The sequence below is a fragment of the Homo sapiens genome, chromosome 8, assembly GCF_000001405.40.
Source record: "Homo sapiens chromosome 8, GRCh38.p14 Primary Assembly".
Taxonomy (NCBI): Eukaryota; Metazoa; Chordata; class Mammalia; order Primates; family Hominidae; genus Homo; species Homo sapiens.
The window spans coordinates 43,226,006-43,250,912 of NC_000008.11; the positions used below are offsets into that span (position 1 = coordinate 43,226,006).

General features: G+C 34.2%; 1 pseudogene; it reads left to right on the forward strand.

The window, feature by feature from the left end:
- Positions 1-20,251: 20,251 nt before the first annotated feature.
- Positions 20,252-21,103, forward strand: LOC101059977 (protein enabled homolog; annotated as a pseudogene).
- Positions 21,104-24,907: the final 3,804 nt, after the last annotated feature.

The following is a 24,907-nucleotide window of genomic DNA, read 5'->3' on the forward strand; positions in this document are numbered from 1 at the left end:
TTTTATTTATTTTTTAATTTTGTAGTTTATCTTAGATATAGGAATACATGTACAGATTTGTTAGATGGGACTATTGTGGATTTTATTCTTTTTATGGCTGAAGAGTAATCCATTATATACATACCACATTTTCTTTATTCAGTCATCCATTGATGGACAATAGCAAAGATATGGAATCAATCTAAGTGCTGCTCTGAGCATACAAGTGCAGGTATCTTTTTGATATAATATTTTTCCTTTGTGTACATATCCAGCAGTAGAATTGCTGGATCGAAGGGTAGTTCTATTTTTAGTTCTTTGAAACACTTACATACTCTTTTCCATAGAGGTTGTACTAATTTAGTTCCCACTAACAGTGTATAAGTGTTTCCTTTTCTCCACCTCCTCACCAGAATCTGTTATTTTTTGACTTTTTAATAATTGCCATTCTGACTGGTGTGAGATAGTGTCTCATTGTGGTTTTAATTTGCATTTCTCTCATGATTAATAATGTTGCACATTTTTTCATATGCTTCATGGCCATTTGTATGGCTTCTTTTGAAAAATATCTGTTCATGTTCTTTGCCCACTTTTTATTTTATTTATTTATTTTTAGTATAATCTGTACAACAATCTTTGCCCGCTTTTTGGTGGGGTTATTTTTTTTTTGGTGTGTGTATGGAGTTGCTTTAGTTCCTTGGAAATTCTAGGTATCAGTCCTCTGTCAGATGCATAGTTTGCAAATATTTCCTCCTATTCTGCAGGTTGTCTATTCACTCTGTTTATTATTTCTTTTGTTCTGTAGAAGTTTTTTAGTTTAATAAGACCCATTTCTATATTTTTATTTTTGTTACTTGTACTTTTGAGGTCTTACTAATAAATTCTTTGTGTGGACAAACTGTTCAAAAGAGTTTTGCCCAGGTTTCTTCTGCTATGTTTATAGTTCTACAACTTATATTTAAGTTTTGGTCCATCTTGGGTTGATTTTTGTATATGGTGAGAGATATGTGCTCAGTTTCATTCTTTTGGATATAAATACCTGATTTTCCCAGCCTCCCTGAGTGAAAATGGTGTCCTTTTTCCAGTGTATATTTGTGTTGATTTTGTCAAAATCAGTTGGCTGTAGACATGTGACTTTATTTTTGGCTTCTTTCTTTTGTTCCATTGATCTATTTTTATACCTGTACCATGCTGTTTGGTTGCTATAGCTTTGTAGTATAATTTGAAGCCATGTAATATGATACCTGCAGCTTTGTTCTTTTTGCTTAGGATTGCTTTACCTCTTCAGGTTTTTTTGGTTCCACACGAATTTTAGGATTTTTTTTTAATTCTGTGAAAAATGACATTGATATTTTGATAGGGATTACACTGAATCTGTACATAGCTTTGGGCAGTATAGTCATTTTAATATTACTTCTTCAGATCCATAATAATGGGATATTTTCCCACTTGTTTGTGTCATCTACAATTACCTCATCTTTGTTTTGTAGTTCTCCTTGTGGAGATCTTTCACGTCCTTGGTTAAATGTATTCCTAGGCAGTGGGAGAGAATGATAATTGTGGGGATGGAATTTAAACATTATGTATTTAAGATAAAAAATATTGTCTCAAACCTGTAATCCCAGTACTTTGGGAGGCCGAGGTGGGTGGATCACGAGGTCAGGAGATCGAGACCTTCCTGGCTAACACAGTGAAACCCTGTCTCTACTAAAAAAAAAAAATACAAAATACAAAAAATTAGCCAGGCATGGTGGCGAGTGCCTGTAGTCCCAGCTACTTGGGAGGCTGAGGCAGGAGAATGGCGTGAACCCGGGAGGCGGAGCTTGCAGTGAGCTGAGATTGCGCCACTGCACTCCAGTCTGGGCGACAGAGCGAGACTCCGTCTCAAAAAAAAAAGAAAAATATTGTACTGAGCTTATGATTTGGGGGAAGTTTCCAAGTCATTTAATATAGTAAGAACCTTTTCTGTCATCTTTGCTAAGGCTGAATTGCAATGTTATCATCTTTAGGGCCCCAAAAGTAATTATGTTCACAGATTTTTAATGCTTTAATCTCATGTGTTTATTAGACAGTGAATGTTTACTTAAAATTAACCCCTGACATTTTCCAAATTGACTCACAAATTGGATAAAAGTTATATATGCTTTTATCTTTAAGTCTACTTTAAAAGAGAGTCTTAAATTTAGAAATGCCAGAATGTATTTACATGTTTGTAATTCAAAATGGAGTTTCTGCAAACACTTAATTTCCAAATTATATCAATGACATTTAAATAGATTATAATTGAAATTTGATGCTAGGAGTAATAATCATAATGCAAATTAGTTAGAAAAGTTATGACTGCTCAAATATTACTGTCTTACAAATTACTTATAATTATCATGCCGAAGTTTTGACACCCATTTAAAATTCAGTTTCTTAGAGATTTAAGCATTATAAGGAAATAAGAATACTCTCTTCTTGTATAGATGTTAAATAAAATATCTTGTTTCCTTTAAAGATCCAAGAAATTAAAATAGCATTTTATAACATGACTTATGATAGTCAACAATCATGTCTTTTTTTAAAGAAAATTGTAAAAATTATTTGAATCCATGAATATTGTTTGTTCTCATTTCTCTGAAGCCATATTAGGCTAATTTTGAGTGTCAAAGTTACTCCATCATGTGGTTTTGAGTGTTAAAAGCAAAACAAATAGAAGTGAATATTCTGGCCAGGCACAGTGGCTCACGCCTGTAATCCTAGCACTTTGGAAGGCTGAGGCGGGCGGATTACTTGAGGTCGAGAGTTCAAAACAAGCCTGGTCAACATGGTGAAACCCCGTCTCCACTAAAAATGCAAAAAGTAGCCAGACATGGTAGCAGGTGCCTGTAGCCCCACCACTTGGGAGACTGAGGCAGGAGAATCGCTTGAACCTGGGAGGCAGAGGTTGCAGTGAGCTGAGATCATGTCACTGCATTCCAGCCTGAGTGACAGAGTGAGACTCCTTCACGGAAAAAAAAAAAAAAAAAAGAAGTAAATATTCTGTGGTAACATAATAGTTTTTTAAGCAGGACACACATTGACCAAATATCTTAAATTTTCTTTCTAAGTTGTTATGAACTCCCCCACATGAAATAGTAGTCAGTTATATAATAAAAGTTTTACTGTTCTTATTGAAGTTGGATAATTAACAGCAGAGTAAGCTCAACTAATTTACATGGGAAAAGACAACAATAGTATAAATAAATTTCCTTCATTTGACACCATCAAACAAAGTTGTTTAAACTTTCTCGTTCGTTTTCACATCGTTATCTCTTCAATTTATCCAAAGCATTTAAAATATGTTCTTGTTATTCTTCATAATAGGTACCCTGTGAGATACTGATTTTTCTTTTTTAATTATTAACAGGCAAGAAAACGAGAGCTCAAACAGGATGAATTTCAAGATGGCAATGGCAGAACTCAAAATTGCATTTGTCAGTGTCCAAAACCACTGTTCTTCCACAAGTCTTTTTTATATAGAATTCTTTTTCTGTAATCTATTTTGTTTATGATAGCTAAACATTCAGTTTCATTTATATTATGTATTTTATCTTATTGTTTTTATAGTATTTTCTTTCTCTCCATACATTCTAATCAGTTTATTCACATGGTCAAACATTAACAGCAGATATTTATGACAATTTCTATTTAAAAACCTTAAACATTGATTACATTTTCAATTATTTTCTCCATACAGGCATACCTCAGAAATATTGTGCGTTCAGTTCCAAACCACAACAATAAAGTGAATATTGCAATAAAGTGAGTAACACAGACTTTTTGGTTTCTGACACATAGAAAAGCTATGTTTACTCTATAGTGTAGTACATTAAGTGTGCAATGGCATTATGTCTAAACATCAATGTACATAACTTAATTGAAAATACTGTATTGCTAAAAAATGCTAATAATCATCTGGACCTTCAGCAAGTTATAACCTTTTTGTTGGTGGAAGCTCTTACCTCAATTTTCATGGCTGCTGACCAATCAGGGTGGTGGTTGCTAAAGGTTGGGGGGCTGTGGTAATTTCTTAAAATAAGAAAACAATGAAGTTTGCTACATTTACTGACATCTTTTAAGGGAAGATTTCTCTGTAGCATGCAATGCTGTTTGATAGCATTTTACCCTACAGTAGCATTTCTTTCAAAATTGGGGTTCACCTTATATAACCCTGCCATTGCTTCATCAACTAAATTTATTTAATATTTGAATTCCTTTGCAGTTATCTAAACACTGTTAATAGCATTTTCTTGGCTCATCCATGTAAATCATTCTAGAAGATCCATTAAAATTTTATGATGAGATTGCAGCAATTCAGTCACATCTTCAAGCTCCACTGCTGATTCTAGGTCTCTTTCTATTTCCACCACAGCAGTGCTTCCTTCTTCCACTAAAGTCTTGAATCCCTCAAAGTCATCAATGAAGGTTGGAAGCAACTTCTTCTAAACTCCTATTAATGTTGATATTTTGACCTCCTCCCATGAATCACAAATATTCTTTTTTTTTGTATACATAGAGATGGGATCTTACTATGTTGACCAGGCTGGTGTTGAACTCCCGGCCTCAAGCAATCTTCCCATCTCAGCCTCCCAAAGTGCTGGGATTACAGGCATGAGCCACCGTGCCCAGCCTCCATGAATCACGAATGTTCTTAATGGCGTCTAGAACAGTACATTCTTTCTTTTTTTTTTTTTTTTACTTATTTATTTATTTATTTATTATTATTATACTTTAAGTTTTAGGGTACATGTGCACAATGTACAGGTTAGTTACATATGTATACATGTGCCGTGCTGGTGTGCTGCACCCACTAAATGATAGACTGGATTAAGAAAATGTGGCACATATACACCATGGAATACTATGCAGCCATAAAAAATGATGAGTTCATGTCCTTTGTAGCCACCTGGATGAAATTGGAAATCATCATTCTCAGTAAACTATCACAAGAACAGTACATTCTTTCTAAAAGGTTTTAAATTTGCTTTGCCCAAATCTCTCTGAGGAATCACTATCTGCGGCAGCTATAATCTTATGAAATTTCTTTCTTTTTTTAATTAAAAAAAATTTAATGTTGGTGGGTATATAGTAGGTGTATATATTTATGGGGTACATGAGATGTTTTGATACATGCATGCAACGAGTAATAATCACATCATGGAGAATGGGGTGTCCATCCCCTCAGCATTTATGCATTGTTACAAATAATTCAATTATACTCTTTTAGTTATTTTAAATTGTACAATTAAGTTACTGTTGAGTATAGTCAGCTTGTTGTACTATCGAATAGTTGAAATTTATTTCTCAGATAATATGACTTGGAAGTCAAATTTACTTCTTGCTGATCCATGGGCTGTAGAATGGATATTCTGTGAGCAGACCTAAAACAATATGAATCTCCTTGTGCATCTCTGTCATAGCTCTTGGGTAACTAGGTACATTATCAATGTATGGTAAAGTTTTGAAAAAAATATCTTTTTTTCTGAGCAGTAGGTCTCAGCAGTTGGCTTAAAATATTAAGTAAACCACACTGCAAACAGATATGCTGTCATCAGGCTTTGTTCCATTTCCAGAGCAAAGGCAGAGTAGGTTTAGCATCATTCCTAAGGTCCCTAGGATTTTCTGAATGGTAAATGAGTACTGGCTTCAACCTAAAGTGTCCAGCTGCATTACCCACTAATAAGAGAGTCAGTCTGTCCTTTGAAGCTGTGAAACCAGGCATTGACTTCACTTCTTAGCTATGAAAGTCCTAGGAGACATCTTCTTCCAATGCAAGACTATTTCAGCTGCACTGACAGTCTGTCATTTGGTGTGGTCACTTTCCTCAGTGACCTTAGCTAGATCAAGGTAACTTGCTACAGCTTCTCTATCAGCTCTTGCTGCCTTGCCTTGCACTTTCATGTTACGGAGGTGACTTCTTTCCTTAAACCTCATGAACCAACTTCTGCTAACTTCAAACTTTTCTTCTGCAGCTTCGGTCACTTCCTCACCTCTCTCAGCTTTTACAGAATTGAAGAGAGTTAGGGAGTTTCTCTGGATTAGGCTTTGGCTTAAGGAAGCGTTATGGCTGGTTTGATCTTCTATTCAGACCACTCAAAATTTCTCCATATCAGCAATAAGACTGTTTGCTTTCTTATCATTCATGTGTTTACTGGACCAGCACTTTTGATTTTTTTCAGGAACTTTTATTTGCATTCACAACTTAGCTAACTGTTTGGTGCAAGAGGCCTAGCTTTAAGGCTATCTCAGTTTTTGACATGTCTTCCTCACTAAGCTTAATAATTTCTAGCTTTTGATTTAAAGTGAGAGAAATGCAACTCTTCCTTTTATTTGAATACTTAGAGACCATTTTAGAGCTATTAATTGGCCTAAGATTGTTGTGTCTCAGGGAATAGAGAGGCCAAGGGAGAGAGATGGCAAAAAGAGAAGAATGGGTGGTCAATGTAGCAGGCAGAACACATGCAACACATATTGATTAGGTTTGCTGTCTTCTATGGGCACAGTTCATGGCACCCCAAACGAGTACAGTATTAACATCGGAAATCACGAATTACAGATCACCATAACAGATATAACAGAAAGGAAAAAGTTTGAAATAATATGTGAATTACCAAAATGTGACACACAGGCATGAAGTAAGTACACGCTGTTGGAAAAATGATGCCAATAGAAGTGTTTGATGCAGCGTTGCCGGAAACCTTCAATTTGTAAAACACTCAATATCTGCAAAGCACAATAAAATGAGGGATGACTGTATACTGTTCAATATTTTTTTACTTATTATGAACATGGTGCTTTTTTAAATGATTTTTTTGAGATGTATCTAAATAGCTGCAAAGACATTCATTGTATGAATGTACAATAATTTAATGTAACAACTATTTTTAATTTTTCTAAAATATATTTAAAAATTTTTAAATCACCCATAATATTATTATTGAAATTCATGTAAAGCAGTAAAAGCAATTAGCTGGGTGTGGTGGCATGTGCCTATAGTCCCAGCTACTCAGGAGGCTGAGGCAGGAGAATTGCTTGATCCTGGGAGGCAGAGGTTGCAGCGAGCCGAAATCGCGCCACTGCACTCTAGCCTGGGCGACAGGGCAAACAAGACTCCATTTCGGAAAAAAAAAAAAAAAAAAAAAAAAAGGCAGTAAAAGCTCCCTCTTCTGTTCATGCTGTAATTTTCCCAAAGGTTAACTTTCTTGTGTGGATCTTTCACAATAATTTTCTAAGTTTGTAATTATACATCAATAAGTATGTATGTAGATCTGACACAGATCTCAGTCACCGGTTTCCTTAGCGCACCTGTCTCATGTATCCTTGGCCATCTACTCTGCCACCAGCCATGCCCTGTGGTTTCCTGCTCAGGCCCAAGTAGCTTTGCTGCCTGGTGACAACCAGTGTGCTGTCTGTCCTAGGAGTATAGCCTCTGATACACAGCCAGGTCCAGCAGTGATTGCCCAGAGATTCCAGCTTTTTCCTCTGTAGGAACTAGCAACCCATAAAATAGCTTGGGCTTTGGCATTTGAACTCACTATTGAAAGAATGATGCATTCTGGAGGTATGAGGGAGTTAATGTCCTATGGGGAATACTTTGTCAATGGAAAAAGAAGGTAGGAGGAAGCTGAGAAATTAAGCTTCTCTTCCCATAATCTACTCTGAAGTGGGATACCTATTTTTGGCTCATCCAGAAAAGTGTTCTATCTCAAGCAGATAATTGTTTCCCACTAATTTACTATAGTTTTGTGGTTTCTCATAAAGTAATAACCACTGACTCCCATTTCTAGCCAACCTTATTTCTCTTTCTCTTACCTATGCTGCCCTTTTTCTCACCTCCAAAAGAAAACATCTAATACGTGTATCAGAAAACACAATATAAAATAATAGATATGTACACATGTGTATTAAAAAATTAAACAGAACAAATATTAAACAAAATAGCTCTGAACCATCCATCATTTCAACAAGAAATCACAAGGGAAATTAGAAAATATCTGGAGTGGATTGAAAAGAATAACACAATAAATCAAAATACATGGAAAGAAGCTAAAGCAATGCTTACAGGGAAACTTATGAATTCAAATGTTTTGCTAGAAAGGAAGAGCGTCTCAAATCAATTACCTAATCAACTTAAGAAACAAAAACAAAAACAAAAATAAATAAAATAAAAGAAATAATAATAATCAGAACAACAATTAGTGAAATAGGAAACACAAAAACAATAGAGAAAACAATGAAACCTAAAATTGTATCTTTGAAATAACGCAACTGGTAGAGATTTTACTGGACTCATCAAGATGAAAGAGAGAAGGCACAGATTGTCAATATCAGGAATGAAAGGCAGAACCTTACAACAGATTCAACAGAAATTTAAAAAGAATTTAAGGCTGACATGGTGGCTCACGCTTGTAATCCCAGCACTTTGGGAGGTTGAGGTGGGTGGATCGTTTGAGGTCAGGAGTTCAAGACCAGCCTGGCCAACATGGTGAAACCCTGTCACTACTAAAAATACAAAAAAAAAAAAAAAAAAATTAGCCGGGGTGTGGTGGCACAGGCCTGTAGTCCCAGCTACTGGGAAGACTGAGGTAGGAGAATCGCTTGAACCTGGGAGGCAGAGTTTGCAGTGAGCCAAGATTGTGCTACTGCACTCCAGCCTGGGTGACAGAGCAAGGCTCCATCTCAAAAAATAAAATAAAATAAAATAAAAAAAGTAAGGTAATGATGAACAACTAATATCAACAAGTTTAACAACATAAATGAAATAATAAAATTCCTAGATAGATATTAAGTAGAAAAACTGACTTAAAAACAAAATAGAAAATCTTAATAGATGTATATAAAGTAAAAAAAAATTGAATTAGTAACTAAATATATTCCCCTGAAGAAGAGTGTAGTGCCAGATGGCTTAACCTGTGAATTCCATCTAATATTTAAGGAAGAAAGAATACCAGTCATACACAAACATTTTCAGCAAATGGAGAAAAGAGCATATGCCCAAACATTTTAGAAAGCCAGTATTAGCTTGATACCAAGGCAGGATGGCGACATCAGAGGAAAAGCACCAAGCAATATCTGTCATAAGTTTACATGCAAACATATTTAACAAAACGGAAGCAAATTAAATCCAACAACATGTAAAATGGTGATACACTGTAACTCTCTGGAATTAATCCTAGTAATGCAAATTTGGTTTACTATCTAAAACCCAATGAACATAGTACATCATATAAATAAAATAAAGTAGTAAATCAATAGAATCATCTCAAAAGACATAAAAGCATTTTGACAAAATCCAATGCTAATTTCTGATAACTCACAACAAACATACGTAAAAAAGTGAAAAAAACTAGCATAAAGGACAGAGGAGAGTAATTGGAATTATACCATTTTAAGGCTCTTGCCTTAAACAAAAATGTTAAAATATTAATTCAAGATAGACTATGATAAAGATACATATTGCAATCTTTCTTTCTTTCTTTCTTTTTTTTTTTTTTTTTGAGACAGAGCCTAGCTCTGTCACCCAGGCTGGAGTGCAGTGGCAAGATCTCAGCTCACTGCAACCTCCACGTCCCAGGTTCAAGCAACTCTCCTGCCTCAGCCTCCTGAGTAGCTGGGATTACAGGTGCCTGCCACCATGTCCGGCTAATTTTTGAATTTTTAGTAGAGACAGGGTTTCACCATGTTGGCTAGGCTGGTCTCGAACTCCTGACCTCAAATGATCTGCCCGCCTCGGCCTTCCAAAGTGCTGGGGTTACAGTCGCGAGCCACTGTGCCTGGCCTACATATTGTAATCTTTCAATTAACAAAAAAAATGAAAACAAACAGATATAGCTAAGAAGACAGCAGAAGTGATAAAACAGAAGACTAAAAAATAGGCACACTAAAGAAAGAATAGTTTAAAAAAAAGAAGAAATAGAAAACAAATAACAACAGGGTACACTTAAACCTAGTCATTTTCAACAATTACATTAAATATAAAAGGGCCCAGGCTTCATGGCTCATGCCTGTAATCCCAGCACTCTGGAAGCTGAGGTGGGAGGATGACTTGAGACCAGGAGTTTGAGACCAGCCCTGGCAGTGAGATGCTGTCTCTGTCTCTGCATGCACTGTGTTTTTTTTGTTTTTTTTTGAGGGAGTTTCATTCTGGTTGCCCAGGCTGGAGTGCAATGGCACAGTCTCAGCTCACTGCAACCTCCGCCTCCAAGGTTCAAGCGATTCTCCTGCCTCAGCCTCCCGAGTAGCTGGGATTACAGGCATGTGCCACCACGCCCAGCTAATTTTGTATTTTTAGTAGAAACGGGGTTTCTCCATATTGGTCAGGCTGGTCTCGAACTCCTGACTTCAGGTGATCCACCCGCCTCGTCCTTCCAAAGTGCTGGGATTACAGGCGTGAGCCACCGCGTGCCCGGTCAAAATTTTTTTTTTCTTTGAGACGGAGTCTCACTCTGTCGCCCAGGCTGGACTGCAGTGGCGCGATCTCTGGCTCACTGCAAGCTCCGCCTCCCGGGTTCATGCCATTCTCCTGCCTCAGCCTCCTGAGTAACTGGGACTACAGGCTCCCGCCACCATGCCCGGCTAATTTTTTGTATTTTTTTTTAGTAGAAACGGGGTTTCACTGTGTTAGCCAGGATGGTCTCGATCTTCCGACCTTGTGATCTGCCCACCTCGGCCTCCCAAAGAAAATTTTTTTTAAAAAATAAAAGATTAGCTGGGCATGGTGCCATGTCCCTGCAGTCCTAGCTACTCAGAAGGCTGAGGCAAGAGGATCCTTTGAGCCCAGGAGTTTGAGGTTACAACGAGCTATGATCATGCTACTGCAGCCCAGCCTGTGTGACAGAGCCAGACCCTGTTTCTAATACATAAATAAATATAGAAGGGCTGGATATCTCAATTTCAAAGTTCGGATTACTTATGAGATTAAAAAAAATAAATAAGACCCAACCCTATGCTGTTCACAAGAAGCATATTTTAGATATAGAAACAACACGTAGGCAAAAGTATGGGTATAAATGTGTCATACAAATGCTCATCCTAAAAGAATTGGTGTGCCCATATTAATATTAGATAAAGTGGTCTTCCAAACAGGAGTACTGCCAAAGATAAAGGGGTCAAGTCACAATCAAAATAGGCCAGTTCATAAGATTAACAATCTTAAATGGGTGAGCCTAATGAAACTTCAAAATGTGTGAAACAGACATCAACAGTAAAGGTGACGATAATCAGATCTACTTTTTTAAGTGTCTGTGGAACATTAATCAAGACAGATCAAATACTGGACCATAAAACAATTCTCAATAAATATAAAATGATTTAAATCATAGAGGGTTTGTATACTGAGCAAAATAGGACTAAATTAAACATCAACAACAAAAATATACTCAGAAAACCTTAATATTTGGCAATTGAGCAAAGAACTTCTAAATAACAATGAATAATTCTCAGATATATATGTTAATTTTTTTATTGTGTTAAAATTTTAACAATTTTAAGTATATAATTCAGTAGCATTAAGTACATTCACAGTGTTGTACAACCATCCTATTAATCACAAGCCAAAATAAAGTACCCATTAAACAGTGACTCACCATTACTTCCTTTGGTATTTTAGGTAGAGTATATAATATATATTTCGTGTACTTTGATATTTTATGTACAGTATATAATATGTAATTGGTGTAATTTGATATTTTATGTTCAGTATATAATATGTATTTGGTGTACTTTTTGATATTTTATGTACAGTATATAATATGTATTTTGGGTACTTTGATATTTTATGTACAGTATATAATAAGTATTTGGTGTACTTTGATATTTTATGTACAGTATATAACATGTATTTGGTGTACTTTGATATTTTATGTACAGTATATAATATGTATTTGGTGTACTTTAATATTTTACATACAGTATATAATATGTATTTTGTGTATTTTGATATTTTGTGTACAGTATATAATATATATTTTGTGTACTTTGATATTTTATGTACAGTATATTATATGTGTTTTCTGTACTTTGATATTTTATGTACAGTATATAAAATGTATTTGGTGTACTTTGATATTTTATGCACAGTATATAATATGTATTTGGTGTACTTTGATATTATATGTACAGTATATAATATATATTTGGTGTACTTTTTGATATTTTATGTACAGTATATAATAAGTAGTTGGTGTAATTTTTGATAATTTAAGTACAGTAAATAATAAGTATTTGGTGTACTTTTTGATATTTTATGTACAGTATGTAATATGTATTTGGTGTACTTTTTGATATTTTATGTACAGTACATAATATGTATTTGGTGTACTTTGATATTTTATGTACAGTATATAGTATATATTTGGTGTACTTTTTGATATTTTATGTACAGTATATAATACGTATTTAGTGTACTATTTGATATTATATGTACAGTATATAAGATACATTTGGTGTACTTTTTGATATTTTATTTACAGTATATGACATGCATGTGGTGTACTTTTTGATATTTTATGTACAGTATATAACATGTGTTTGCTGTACTTTGATATTTTATGTAGAGTATATAATATGTATTTGGTGCACTATGAAATTTTATGTACAGTATATAATATGAATTTGGCGTACTTTGATATTTTATGGACAGTATATAATAGGTATTTTGTGTAGTTTGATATTTTATGTACAGTATAAAATATGTATTTGGTGTACTTTGATATTTTATGTACAGTATATAATATGCATTTGATGTAGTTTGATATTTTATGTACTCTATATAATATGTATTTGGTGTATTTTGATATTTTATGCACAGTGTATAATACACCAAATACAATTTATATACTGTACATAAAATATCAAAGTACACCAAATGCATTTTATATACTGTATATAAAACACCAACGTACACCAAATACATACTATATACTGTACATAGTTTGAAAGTACACCAAATACATATTATATACTGTACATAAAATGTCAAAAAGTACACCAAATACATATTATATACTGTACCTAAAATGTCAAAAAGTACACGAAATACATATTATATTCTGTACATATATTATCAAAAAGTACACCAAATACATATTATATACTGTAGATAAAATATACGAAAGTACACCAAATACATATTATATACTGTACATAAAATATCAAAAACTACAGCAAATACATATTATATACTGTAAATAAAATATCAAAAATTACACCAAATACATATTATATGCTGTACACAAAATATCAAAGTACCCAAAATACATATGATATACTGTACATAAAAAATCAAAGTACAAAAAATACATATGATATACAGTACATAAAATATCAAAGTTCACCAAATACATATTATATAATGTACATAAAACATCAAACTACAGCAAATACATATTATATACTGTACATAAAATATCAAATAGTACACCAAATACATACTATATACTGTACATCAATTATCAAAGTACACCAAATACGTATTATATACTGTACATAAGATATCAAAGTACACTTAATACATATTATATACTATACATAATATATCAAAGTACACAAAATATATATTATATGCTGTACATATAATATCAAAGTATACATAATATATATTATACACTGTACTTAAAATACCAAAGTACACAAAATATATATTATATACTGTACATAAAATATCAAAGTACACCAAATACATATTATATACTGTACATAAAATATCAAAGTACACCAAATACATATTATATACTGTTCATAAAATATCAAAGTACACAAATTACATGTTATATACTGTACATAAAATATCAATGTGCACCAAATACATATTATATACTGTACATAAAATATCAAAGTACACAAAATACATATTATACACTGTACATAAAATATCAAAGTATGCAAAACATATATACTGCACATAAAATATCAACTTACACGAAGTATATATTATATACTGTACATAAAATATCAAAGTACACCGAATATATATTATATACTGAACATAAAATATCAAATCACACATATTATATATTATATACTGTACATAAAATATCAAAGTACACCAAATACATATTATATACTGTACATGAAATATCAAAGTACACCAAATACATATTATATACTGTACATAAAAAGCAACGTACACAAAATATATATTATATACTGTACATAAAATATCAAAGTCCACCAAATACATATTTTATACTGTACATAAAATGTAAAAAGGTACACCAAATACATATTTTATACTGTACATAAAATATCAAAACGTACCCCAAATACATATTATATATTGTACATAAAATATCAAAAGGTACACCAAAGATATATTATATATTGTACATAAAATATGAAAAAGTACACCTAATATATATTATATCCTGTACATCAAGTATCAAAAAGTACATCATATATATTATATACTGTACATCAAATATCAAAAAGTACATTATATATTATATACTGTACATCAAATATCAAAATGTACAACAAATATATATTATATAATGTACATCAAATATTAAAAATTAACCAAATACATATTATATACTGTATATCAAACATGAAATAGTACACCAAGTACTTATTATATACTGTACATCAAATATCAAAGTACACAAAATACTTATTATATACTGTACACAAAATATGAAAGTACACCAGATACATATTATATACTGTATATAAAATAGAAAAGTACCCCAAATACATATTATATACTGTACACAAAATATAAAATTACAGAAAATACATATTATATACTGTATATAAAATATCAAAGTACACAAAATATGTATTGTATACTGTACATAAAATATCAAAGTACACCAAATATATATTATTTACTGTACATAAAATATCAAACATACCAAATACATACTATATACTATAACTAAAATATCAAAGTACACCAAATACATAATATATACTGTACATAAAATACCTAAGTACACCAAATACATATTATATACTCTACATAAAATATCAAAGTACACAAAATACATATTATATACTGTACATAAAATATCAAAGTACACCAAATTCATATTACATACTGTACATAAAATTTCAAAGTACACCATATACATATTATATGCTGTGCATAAAATATCAAAGTACACAAAGTACATATTATATACCATACATAAAATATCAAAGTACACTAAATACATATTATGTACTGCAAATAAAATATCAAAATACACAAAATACATATTATATACTGTACACAAAACATCAAAGTACAGAAAATACATATTATATACTGTATGTAAAATATTAAAGTACACCAAATACATATTATATACTGTACATAAAATATCAAATTACACCAAATACATATAATATACTATACATAAAACATGAAAGTACACCAGATACATATTACATACTGTACATTAATCATCAAAGTACACCAGATACATATTATATACTGTACATAAAATATCAATGTACACAAAATACATATTATATACTGTACATAAAATATCAAAGTACACCAAATACATATTATATACTCTATATAAAATATCAAAGTACACCAAATACATATTATATACTGTGCATAAAATATCAAAGTACACAAAGTACATATTATATAGTGTACATAAAATATCAAAGTACTCTAAATACATATTATATACTGTATTCAAAATATCAAAGTACACAAAATACATATTATATACTGTATGCTAAATATTAAACTACACCAAATACATATTATATACTGTACATAAAATATCAAAGTACACCAAATACACATTATATACTGTACATAAAATATCAAACTACACCAAATACATATTATATACTGTACATAAAAAATCAAACTACACCAAATACATATTATAAACTGTACATAAAATATCAAAGTACACAAAATACATATTATATACTGTACATAAAATATCAAAGTACACGAAATATATATTACATACTGTACCTAAAATATCAAAGTACACGAAATACACATTAAATACTGTACCTAAAATATCAAAATACACGAAATACATATTATATACTGTACCTAAAATATCAAAGTACACGAAATACATATTACATACTGTACCCAAAATATCAAACTAGACGAAATACATATTATATACTGTACCTAAAATATCAAAGTACACATAATACATATTACATACTGTACCTAAAATATCAAAGTACACCAAATACATATTACATACTGTACCTAAAATATCAAAGTTCACCAAATACACATTTTATACTGTACCTAAAATATCAAAGTACAACAAATACATATTACATACTGTACCTAAAATATCAAATACACCAAATACATATTACATACTGTACCTAAAATATCAAAGTATACCAAATACATATTATATACTGTACATAAAATATCAAAGTACACAAAATAAACACTTATCTTTGTTCTGTCTTCACAAATTTGCCTATTGTAGATATTTCATATCAATGGAATCACACAACATTTGTCTTTTTATGTCTGGCTTACCTCACTTAGCATCACGTTTCCAAGTTTCACCCATGTTGCATGCATGAGAACTTCATTCCCTTTAATGGATGAATAATACTCTATTATATATGTATCATATTTTGTTTATCCATTCATTTGTTGATGGACATGGGCTGTCCCTGCCTTTTGGCTATGGCAAATAATGCTACAATAAACTTTGGTGTAAAAATGTCTGTTCCAGATCCTGCTGTCAACTTTTTTGTGTGTAATACCTAGGAGTGGCATTTCTGGGTCTATGTGTGATTCTGTGAGGAACCACCGAACTGCTCTCCACAGCAACTGCATCATTTTCTGTTTTTAGCAGCCAATTCATGAGGGCTTCATTTTCTCCACATCCTTAGCAACATTTATTTTCTGTTTCATTGTTGTTATGAAAGCCATATCGGAGGATGGAAAGTGGTATTTCATTTTGGTTTTGATTTGCACTTTATTAATGAATAATGGTGTTTAGCATTTTTTTTGTCCTTATTAGACATTTGTATATTTTCTTTGGAGAAATGTCTATTCAAGTCCTTTGCCTATTTTTTAATTGGAATGTTAGAAATTTTGTTGTTAAGTTGTGCGATATTAAGCTTTTATCGGATATATGTTTTGCTTTTATCAGATAAATATTTTCTCACATACTACGGGTGGTCTTTTCACTCCCTTGATAGTGTCCTTTGATGCATAAAATTTTTCGATTTTGATTAAATCTAACGTGTTTTTTCTTTTGTTATCTGTGCTTTTGTGTCATATTTCAAAAAGCATTTAAAACTCAAAGGTCATAAAGATTTACGTGTGTGTTTTCTTCTAAGAGTTACATATTTTTAGTCCTTACATTTAAGTCTTTTGTTAATTTAGAGTTAATTTTTGTATATAGTGCAAGGTAGGGGTCTAACTTCACTCCTGTGCATGGATATCCAGCTGTTGAAGAGAGTGTTCTTTCCTCCATTGACTGGTCTTGGCCTCCTTGCTGAACAGTCATTGACCATATATATGAGGACTAATTTCTAGGATCTCAATCCTATTCTGTTATTTTAAATGTCTATTGATTTTATGCCAGTACCACACCCTCTTGATTACTGTAGATTTGTAGTAGGTTGTGAAACTGGAAAATGTGAGTTTTCCAATGTTCTTTTTCAAGATTGTTTTGTCTATGTCAGATTCTTTGAATTTTTGTATGAATTTTATAATGGGTTTCTCTGTGTCTGCAAAAAATGTCTTTGAGATTTTGATGGTATCGTATTGAATCTCTAGATTACTTTAGATGGTATGGTCATCAAATATTGTCTTACAACCCATGAACACAGAATGTCTTTCCAGTTATTTAAACTCTTCAGTTTCTTTCAGCGAAGTTTTGTGCATACCACCATGTTTAGATTTATGCCTGAATATCTTATTCTTTGATGCTATTATAAATGGAATTTTAAAAATGTTTCCATAGTTCATTACAGCTATATAGAAATACAACTAATTAGCATGTGTTTGTCTTGCTTCCTTCCTCTTTTATTAGTTCTGATGGGTTTTGGGTATTCTTTAGAGCTTTATACACATAAGATCATGTGTAGATATAATTTTACTTCTATTTTTCATTTCTAATTTAGATGCCTTTTATTTCTTTGTCTTGCCTAATTGCTCTGGCTAGAATTTCCAGTGCTATGCTGAACAGAATTGGCAAATGCACCATCCTTGTCCTGTTCTAGATGTTAGGAAAACAGCTTTCAGTGTTTCACCATTGAGCACGATATTAACTGTCAGTTTTTTATATCCCATTGTCATGTTGCAGAAGTTCCCTTCTGTGCTTAGTTTATTGGGTATTTTTATCATAAAAGAGAGTTGTATATCATCAATGCTTTTTCTGCATCAATTGAAATAATCATGTGCTTATTCATTTTACTGTTATAGTATATTACACTGATCGGTTTATAATATGTTGAGCCACACTTGCATTTTTGGGATAAATCTCACTTGGTGATAGTTTACAATCCTTTGATTATACAGTAGTGCTGCTAGTATTTTGTTAGTATTGCTAGCATTTTGCTGAGATTTTTGCCTATATTTTCATAAGGGATATCGTGCTTTAGTTCTCTTTTTTTGTGCTTTGTCTGGCTTTGGTATCAGGATAATGCTGTTATCAAAAAGTGAGGGTTGGGCGCGGTGGCTCATGCCTGTAATCCCAGCACTTTGGGAGGCTGAGGCAGTTGGATCATGAGGTCAGTTTGAGACCAGCCTGACCAACATGGTGAAACCCCCGTCTCTACTAAAAATACGAAAATTAGCTGGGTGTAGTGGCAGGGACCTGTAATCCCAGCTACTCGGGAGGCTGAGACATGAGAATCGCTTGAACCCAGGAGGCAGAGGTTGCAGTTAGCCAAGGTCGTGCCACTGCACTCCAGCCTGGGGGATAAGACTCTGTCTCCAAACAAACAAACAAACAAACAACTCCCCGCCCCCACCCCACAAAACAACTGAATTGGCAAGTATTCTTTCTTCATACATTTTGTTGGAAGAGTTTGAGAAGAAATGGTATTAATTTTTCTTTAAATGTTAGATAGACTCACATTTAAATGTTAGGTAGATTTATGACCAAATATGGCTATTTGGTCATAAATCTTTTTTTGTTAAATGGTTTTTGATTACTAGTCCAATCTTCTTGCTTGTTATCTGAATGCAGGTCTATTCAGATTTTCTCTTTCTTCTTGAGCTATTTTGGTAGTTTGTGTCTTTCCAGCAATTCGTCCATTTCATCCAGGGCACCTAATTTGTTAATATGCAGCTGTTCACAGTATTCTCCTATAATCCTTTTTTATTTCTGTAAAGTTGGTAGTAATGGCTCTACTTTCATTTATGATTTTAGTGATGAAAGTCTTCCATCTTTTGCTCAGTCAATACAGTGAAAGGTTTGATCTTTTCAAAGAATCAACTTTTAGCTGTGTTTATTTCTTCTACTGCTTTTCAACCTTCTATTTTATTGATTTATACTCTAATCTTTATTATTTCTTTCCTTCTGCTAGCTTTGGATTTAGTTTTCTCTGGTTTTTCTACTGCTTTTAGGTACACAGTGAGGTTACTGATTTGAGATTTTTTTTTTAATGTGATTGTTTATATCCATACATTTTCCTTTGAACTCTACTTTCACTGCATTCAATAAGTTTTGGTATGCTTTATTTTTATTTTAATTTGTCTCAAAATACTTTATAATTTCACTTGTGATTTATCCTTTCACTCACTGGTAGTTTAAGAGTACATTGTTTAATTTCCACATATTTGTGAATTTTCCCATTTTCATTTTTTATTTATCTGTTGTTTCTTCCATTGTGGTTGTAAATTATATTTTGTATGATTTCAAACTTTTAAAAATGATTAGGACATATTTTTGCAGAGGAAGATATGGCCTATCCTAGAGAAAGTTCCATATCCACTTGAAAATAATGTGTATTCTGCTGTTGTTGGGTGGACTGTTCTGTATCTGTATATTAGATCTAAGCGGCTTATACTATTGTTCAAGTCTTCTGTTTCTCATGAAGCTTCTGTCTGGTTTTTCTACCCATTAATTAAAATGAGGTATTGAAGTGTCCAACTGTTATTATAGAACTGTGTGGGTTTAACCTTTTAATCCTGTTAAATTTTTTCAGCTTTACTGAGGTATAATTGAGAAATAAATGTGAACATATTCAAGGTTTGCAATGTGATGTGTTTCTATCTATATGCACATTCTGAAATGATTACCAAAACGAAGTCAATTAACATATTAATTACCTCACATAATAGCTTTTTGTGCGCATGCGTGGGATAAGAATACTTAACCCCATCCCCAGTGACTGCAGAGTGGCCCTTCCAGCTGTTCCAGGCTCTGGCAGAGGAGGAGCAGAGCGGGTGGCACCGCCAGGGGAGCCCTCAGGCCTGGCGCGCACGCATTCCGGAGGTCGCCAGGCCATGCTCCGTCGCCTGGGCGCCCAAGCTGCAGCCCCAAATTTTTGGGTGGATTGTGGTTTTGGGGTGGATCGCGGATTTGGGGCTGCACTTGGGCGCTGCCCGGCAACTCCCCAGCCCGCTCACACTGCCAGCATCGCAGAGCCGGGGCCAGAAGTCCCGGTGCTGCGGCCAAGCCAGGCGTTCTGCCCGGCGGCGGCTGCACAGGGGCGAGAACTGAGAACCTGCCGCTCAACCCCATCCTGGGTGACTGCGGAGTGCCCATGCCAGCGGCTTCTGTCTCCCTGCGGCGGAGGAGCGGGGCGGGAGGCACGGCCTAGGGGCCCTCAGGCTGGTCGCGCTGGCGATCCCGAGGCCGCCCAGGCCATGCCCCTCCAGCCCGCCTGGGCACCCAAGCTGCAGTCGCCCTCTGTGTGCAGGCAGCAGCCTCCGGGAAACCTCTAAGCCCGCCTGCTCTCCGAACATCTAAGAACCAGGACCAGATGTCCCTGTGGCTGCTGCCGAGCCAGGCGGTCCGCCCGACGGCGGCTGCACAGGGGCGAGAACCTGCCGCTCAATCCCATCCCCGGTGGCTGCGGACTGCTTCTGGCCAGCGGTCCCGAGCTCCGTCAGAGGAGGACGGCGGGTGGCACGACCAGGGATTTGAGGGTAGATTGCGGTTTTTGGGTGGATCGCGGATTTGGGGGTGGATCGCAGATTTAGGGCTGGGAGGCGGGGTGGAAAGGCTACCTGGAGCCGCGGCGGCTCAGGAGCGGGTTGTTGAGCGTCTGAGAAGTCGCCACCACGAGGAAGCGCTTCAGCTTCTGGAGACGCCTGGGCCAGGCGGTCCTGCTCCATCGACCACGAGTACCCGGATCCCGGGTACCACACCTGGGACGCGGAACTGCGGAAGATCCACAGGGCGGCAGTGAGGGGCGACGCCGCAGAGGTGGAGCGCCGCCGCAGAGGTCGAGCGCCGCCAGATGCGCAGAAGCCGGGACTTGTACGCCCGCGACAGGAAAGACAGGCAGCGGGGCCTCAGCTCCAGGTGGGAGGGGGCCCTAGGCCCGGCTTCCCGCAGCCCCGCAGCCCCGCAGCCCCGCAGCCCCGTAGCCCCGAAGCCCCGCAGCACCTGGGGCGGGGATCTTGGAGGGCGCCGGGCACCCTCGGAACAGCGAAGCCAAACGGAGCCTCAGCTGCTTTCTATCGCTGGCAATTCCCCGTCTGGAGCACTTGGTGGAGAATTTGATTTATCTCACAAAGTTAGGCATATACACGTTTAAAAGATAAGTCTCATATACATGATAGGGAGGTGCCTAATGAGAACTCATTCCCATATCAAAAATGCCATGAGTCATTTTCAGTAGGCGAAAAGTTCTCCGATAAAACCCTGCGTCTGTTTTACATCCGAATCCACCTATGTAGATAAATTCTTTACTGGGGCTCCTTAGAGGGAAACTTGGAAGTGGGAGGTGGGTTCCGTGTTCTTGAATGGGAAGACTCAGTTTTCTCAAAATGTGAGCTCTTTCTATATTTATCAGTTTTACGTAAACCAAGTGAAAATATCAACGTTTTAACATTTTTGCATGACACTTGCTGTCTGTCTTTTTCTCTTGCGATGACATTTAAACATTTTTATAATGGAGTGAAAAAAGTCTTGCTCCTCTAGATATCAAAATGTGCTATTAATTCCCACAATTAACTGTTGACTAACAGCTGAAAAGACGTAAATACATGGAACAGGATAGGAAATCCCAAAACACTGAGATAAATGTAAGATATATACGTAGGGATTGTGGTAACATTTCAGATGAGTAGGAAGGTATGAGTTATTAATAACGTGTCCTATTTGAAGAAAACTAATAAAATTTTGTGCGACAAAAATGAGTTCCTGAAAGAATACAGATTGAAATTATTACATATGCAAAACGAAGAAAGTACCAGAAGAAAACAGAAATGCTTATTTATACAGGTACATTTTATATTGACAAAGGCCTTCCTAAGAATGACCTCACAAGTAGGCATTCTGAAGGTTGATTTAGCAACTAAAAATTAAAACCCCTTGTGTATCAGAAAAAATTAACAAAAGATGACATACTTGAAAAATGCTATAATTTTTTACTATATATAAATATATATTAATACATATTCAGATGAAAAGTGTGTCTTTATTCTACAGGGAACTTATTACATTTTTTATTATATATAATATATATTACTGATTATAACAAATTGTATATATTACTGATATAATATGTTATATATATCAGTTTTATACACACACACACACACACACACACACACACACACACACAGATAAAAAGCACATCTTTATTTTACAGGGAATTCTTTCAAATAAAATCCAGAAGAAAAGAACTCTAAAAGTGAGCAAAGTACTTTTTTGCAGATCCACAACTTAACTTACGTACATAGGAAAAAATCCTTAGTGTTTCTCATAAGAGAATTTAAGTTAAAAGAGAAATGAGACTGTTTTCTATCCACAATGTTTGTGAGAATAAAGAGCAGTGGTAGTTATACTGCTGCTTAAAGTTTAAGTTGCTGATGACTTTTCAAGTAGATAATTTGGTGGTAATTACCACATTTAAAAAATCTATATGCCCTTTACCTATCAATTCCATTATATTAAAATACCTTTAGAAAATAGAGATACATGCACTTTGTTTTTTCTCAGCACTTATTTTAACAAGAAATGATAGGATAGATCCTATAAATAAATTTCAGTTGCATCCATAGGATGGAATAATATGTGACCATTTTGTTATAGCCAGTGAGAAAAAAAAGTCAGTTTGCTTGCATATACACACAAACATACTATGGTCTTGTGTTAGCCAAAACTATGTACAAAATATGATAAAAATTGTAACTTCTGAGCATTGGTATTTTAAGTAAAGTTTCTTGCTCCTTTTTCTTATCTGTGATTTCCGCAATGATCATGTATAAAACTTCTAGTAAAAGTTTATTATTAATGGAATAATCCTTGGGAAGAGAGAATATGAATCTTGCACAGGTAAAAATAATTTCTCGCTGTCTATTTTATCATTATTATTGCGTGGGTTGTTATCTTCTTTGAACTTTTAGCCTCTTCAGAAGTAAAAAGGGAATCTTTTTATGTATGCTTGCAGATTTTATTATGTATATATTTTATTAGGTACATATGCTTTTCTTATGTATAGATTCATTGAATATATGCAAACAATGACAGATTAAACATTTCATTTTGTATTCTTACAAAAATAATAAATAGCAAATATAATTACTATCACAAAAATATTGTTTTATAAAAGTTTTATTTAAAAATATTGAACTCCACAACTGTATTTATCCATTCTTTCAATCCATTTATTCATCAAACATAACATGAATGCTTGTTATGTAACAGACATATTCTACTATCTCTCAGGATCCTTCCATCCTTAAAAAGTTCATGTTTACCTGCCCTGACTGAGCAGTTTAAAGAATGTATATATAAATTACATGTATATATATATAAATTAATTCTTTTAATTTAATTAGTTTAGCTTAGAATTCAGAGTTATTTCAGAAGTTAGTTGTAGCTAATTCATAATCTCAAACAGTATTGTCTGGAATCTTCTGATCCATAGTCAGACACGTTATCCATCGCACCACTGGCCCGCGGTTTCTCAAACAGTACTGTCTGAAACAAATTCATTTACCTAATTATGATCCCTGAAATTCTATATATTTTTGTATTAATATAAACAAGAAATTAGACTTTTAAGATTTTTAAGTTAGTGTGTTGTATTTTTCTCTATAGTCATATTATAACAAATTGGACTTATGCAAATGGTTCTTCTATTTAATTTTTATAATAAATGGTTTGTATTTAGTAGATAAATATTAATTACACTTGATTCTTGAATAATGTGGGGGTTAGGGACTCTTATTTCTGTGGAATTGAAAATCCGAGTATAACTTTTGACCTCTTCCAAACTAGCCTACCATTGACTGGAAGCTTTACTGATAACATAAACAGTCGAGGTACATATATTTGGTATGTGCTGCTGCATTATTTACTATGTTCTTAAAATAAAGTAAGCTAGATAAATGAAGCTGATATAAAGAAAATCATAGAAAAGAAAAAATATACTTACTATTCATAAAGCATAAATGAATCCTCCCAAAGGTCTTCATCTTCATCATCTTCAGGTTTCCTGCCCTCTGCCTCTTTTAATCTGGTGGACCTCATTCTTTAAGTCTCAGCTCAGGCATGATCTCTAGAAAAGCCATCCCCGAAGGTTTTATTCCTATTCTTTACACCCCGGTGCCTACCACTTAGTAGGAACTCAATAATAAATATTTGGTAAAATAAAGACTGTTTATACAAAGATGATTGCTACAGTCTAGCTGCAAAGGGGATAGACATGCAAAGACATGATGTACAGTTCAGGTGGTGAAGTGACACTAGAAAAATTGACAAAGTACTAAGGGAGCCCCAAGGAAGGAGATGCCTGTGTATGTGGAGAAAGATAGTCAGATTCAAGGAGG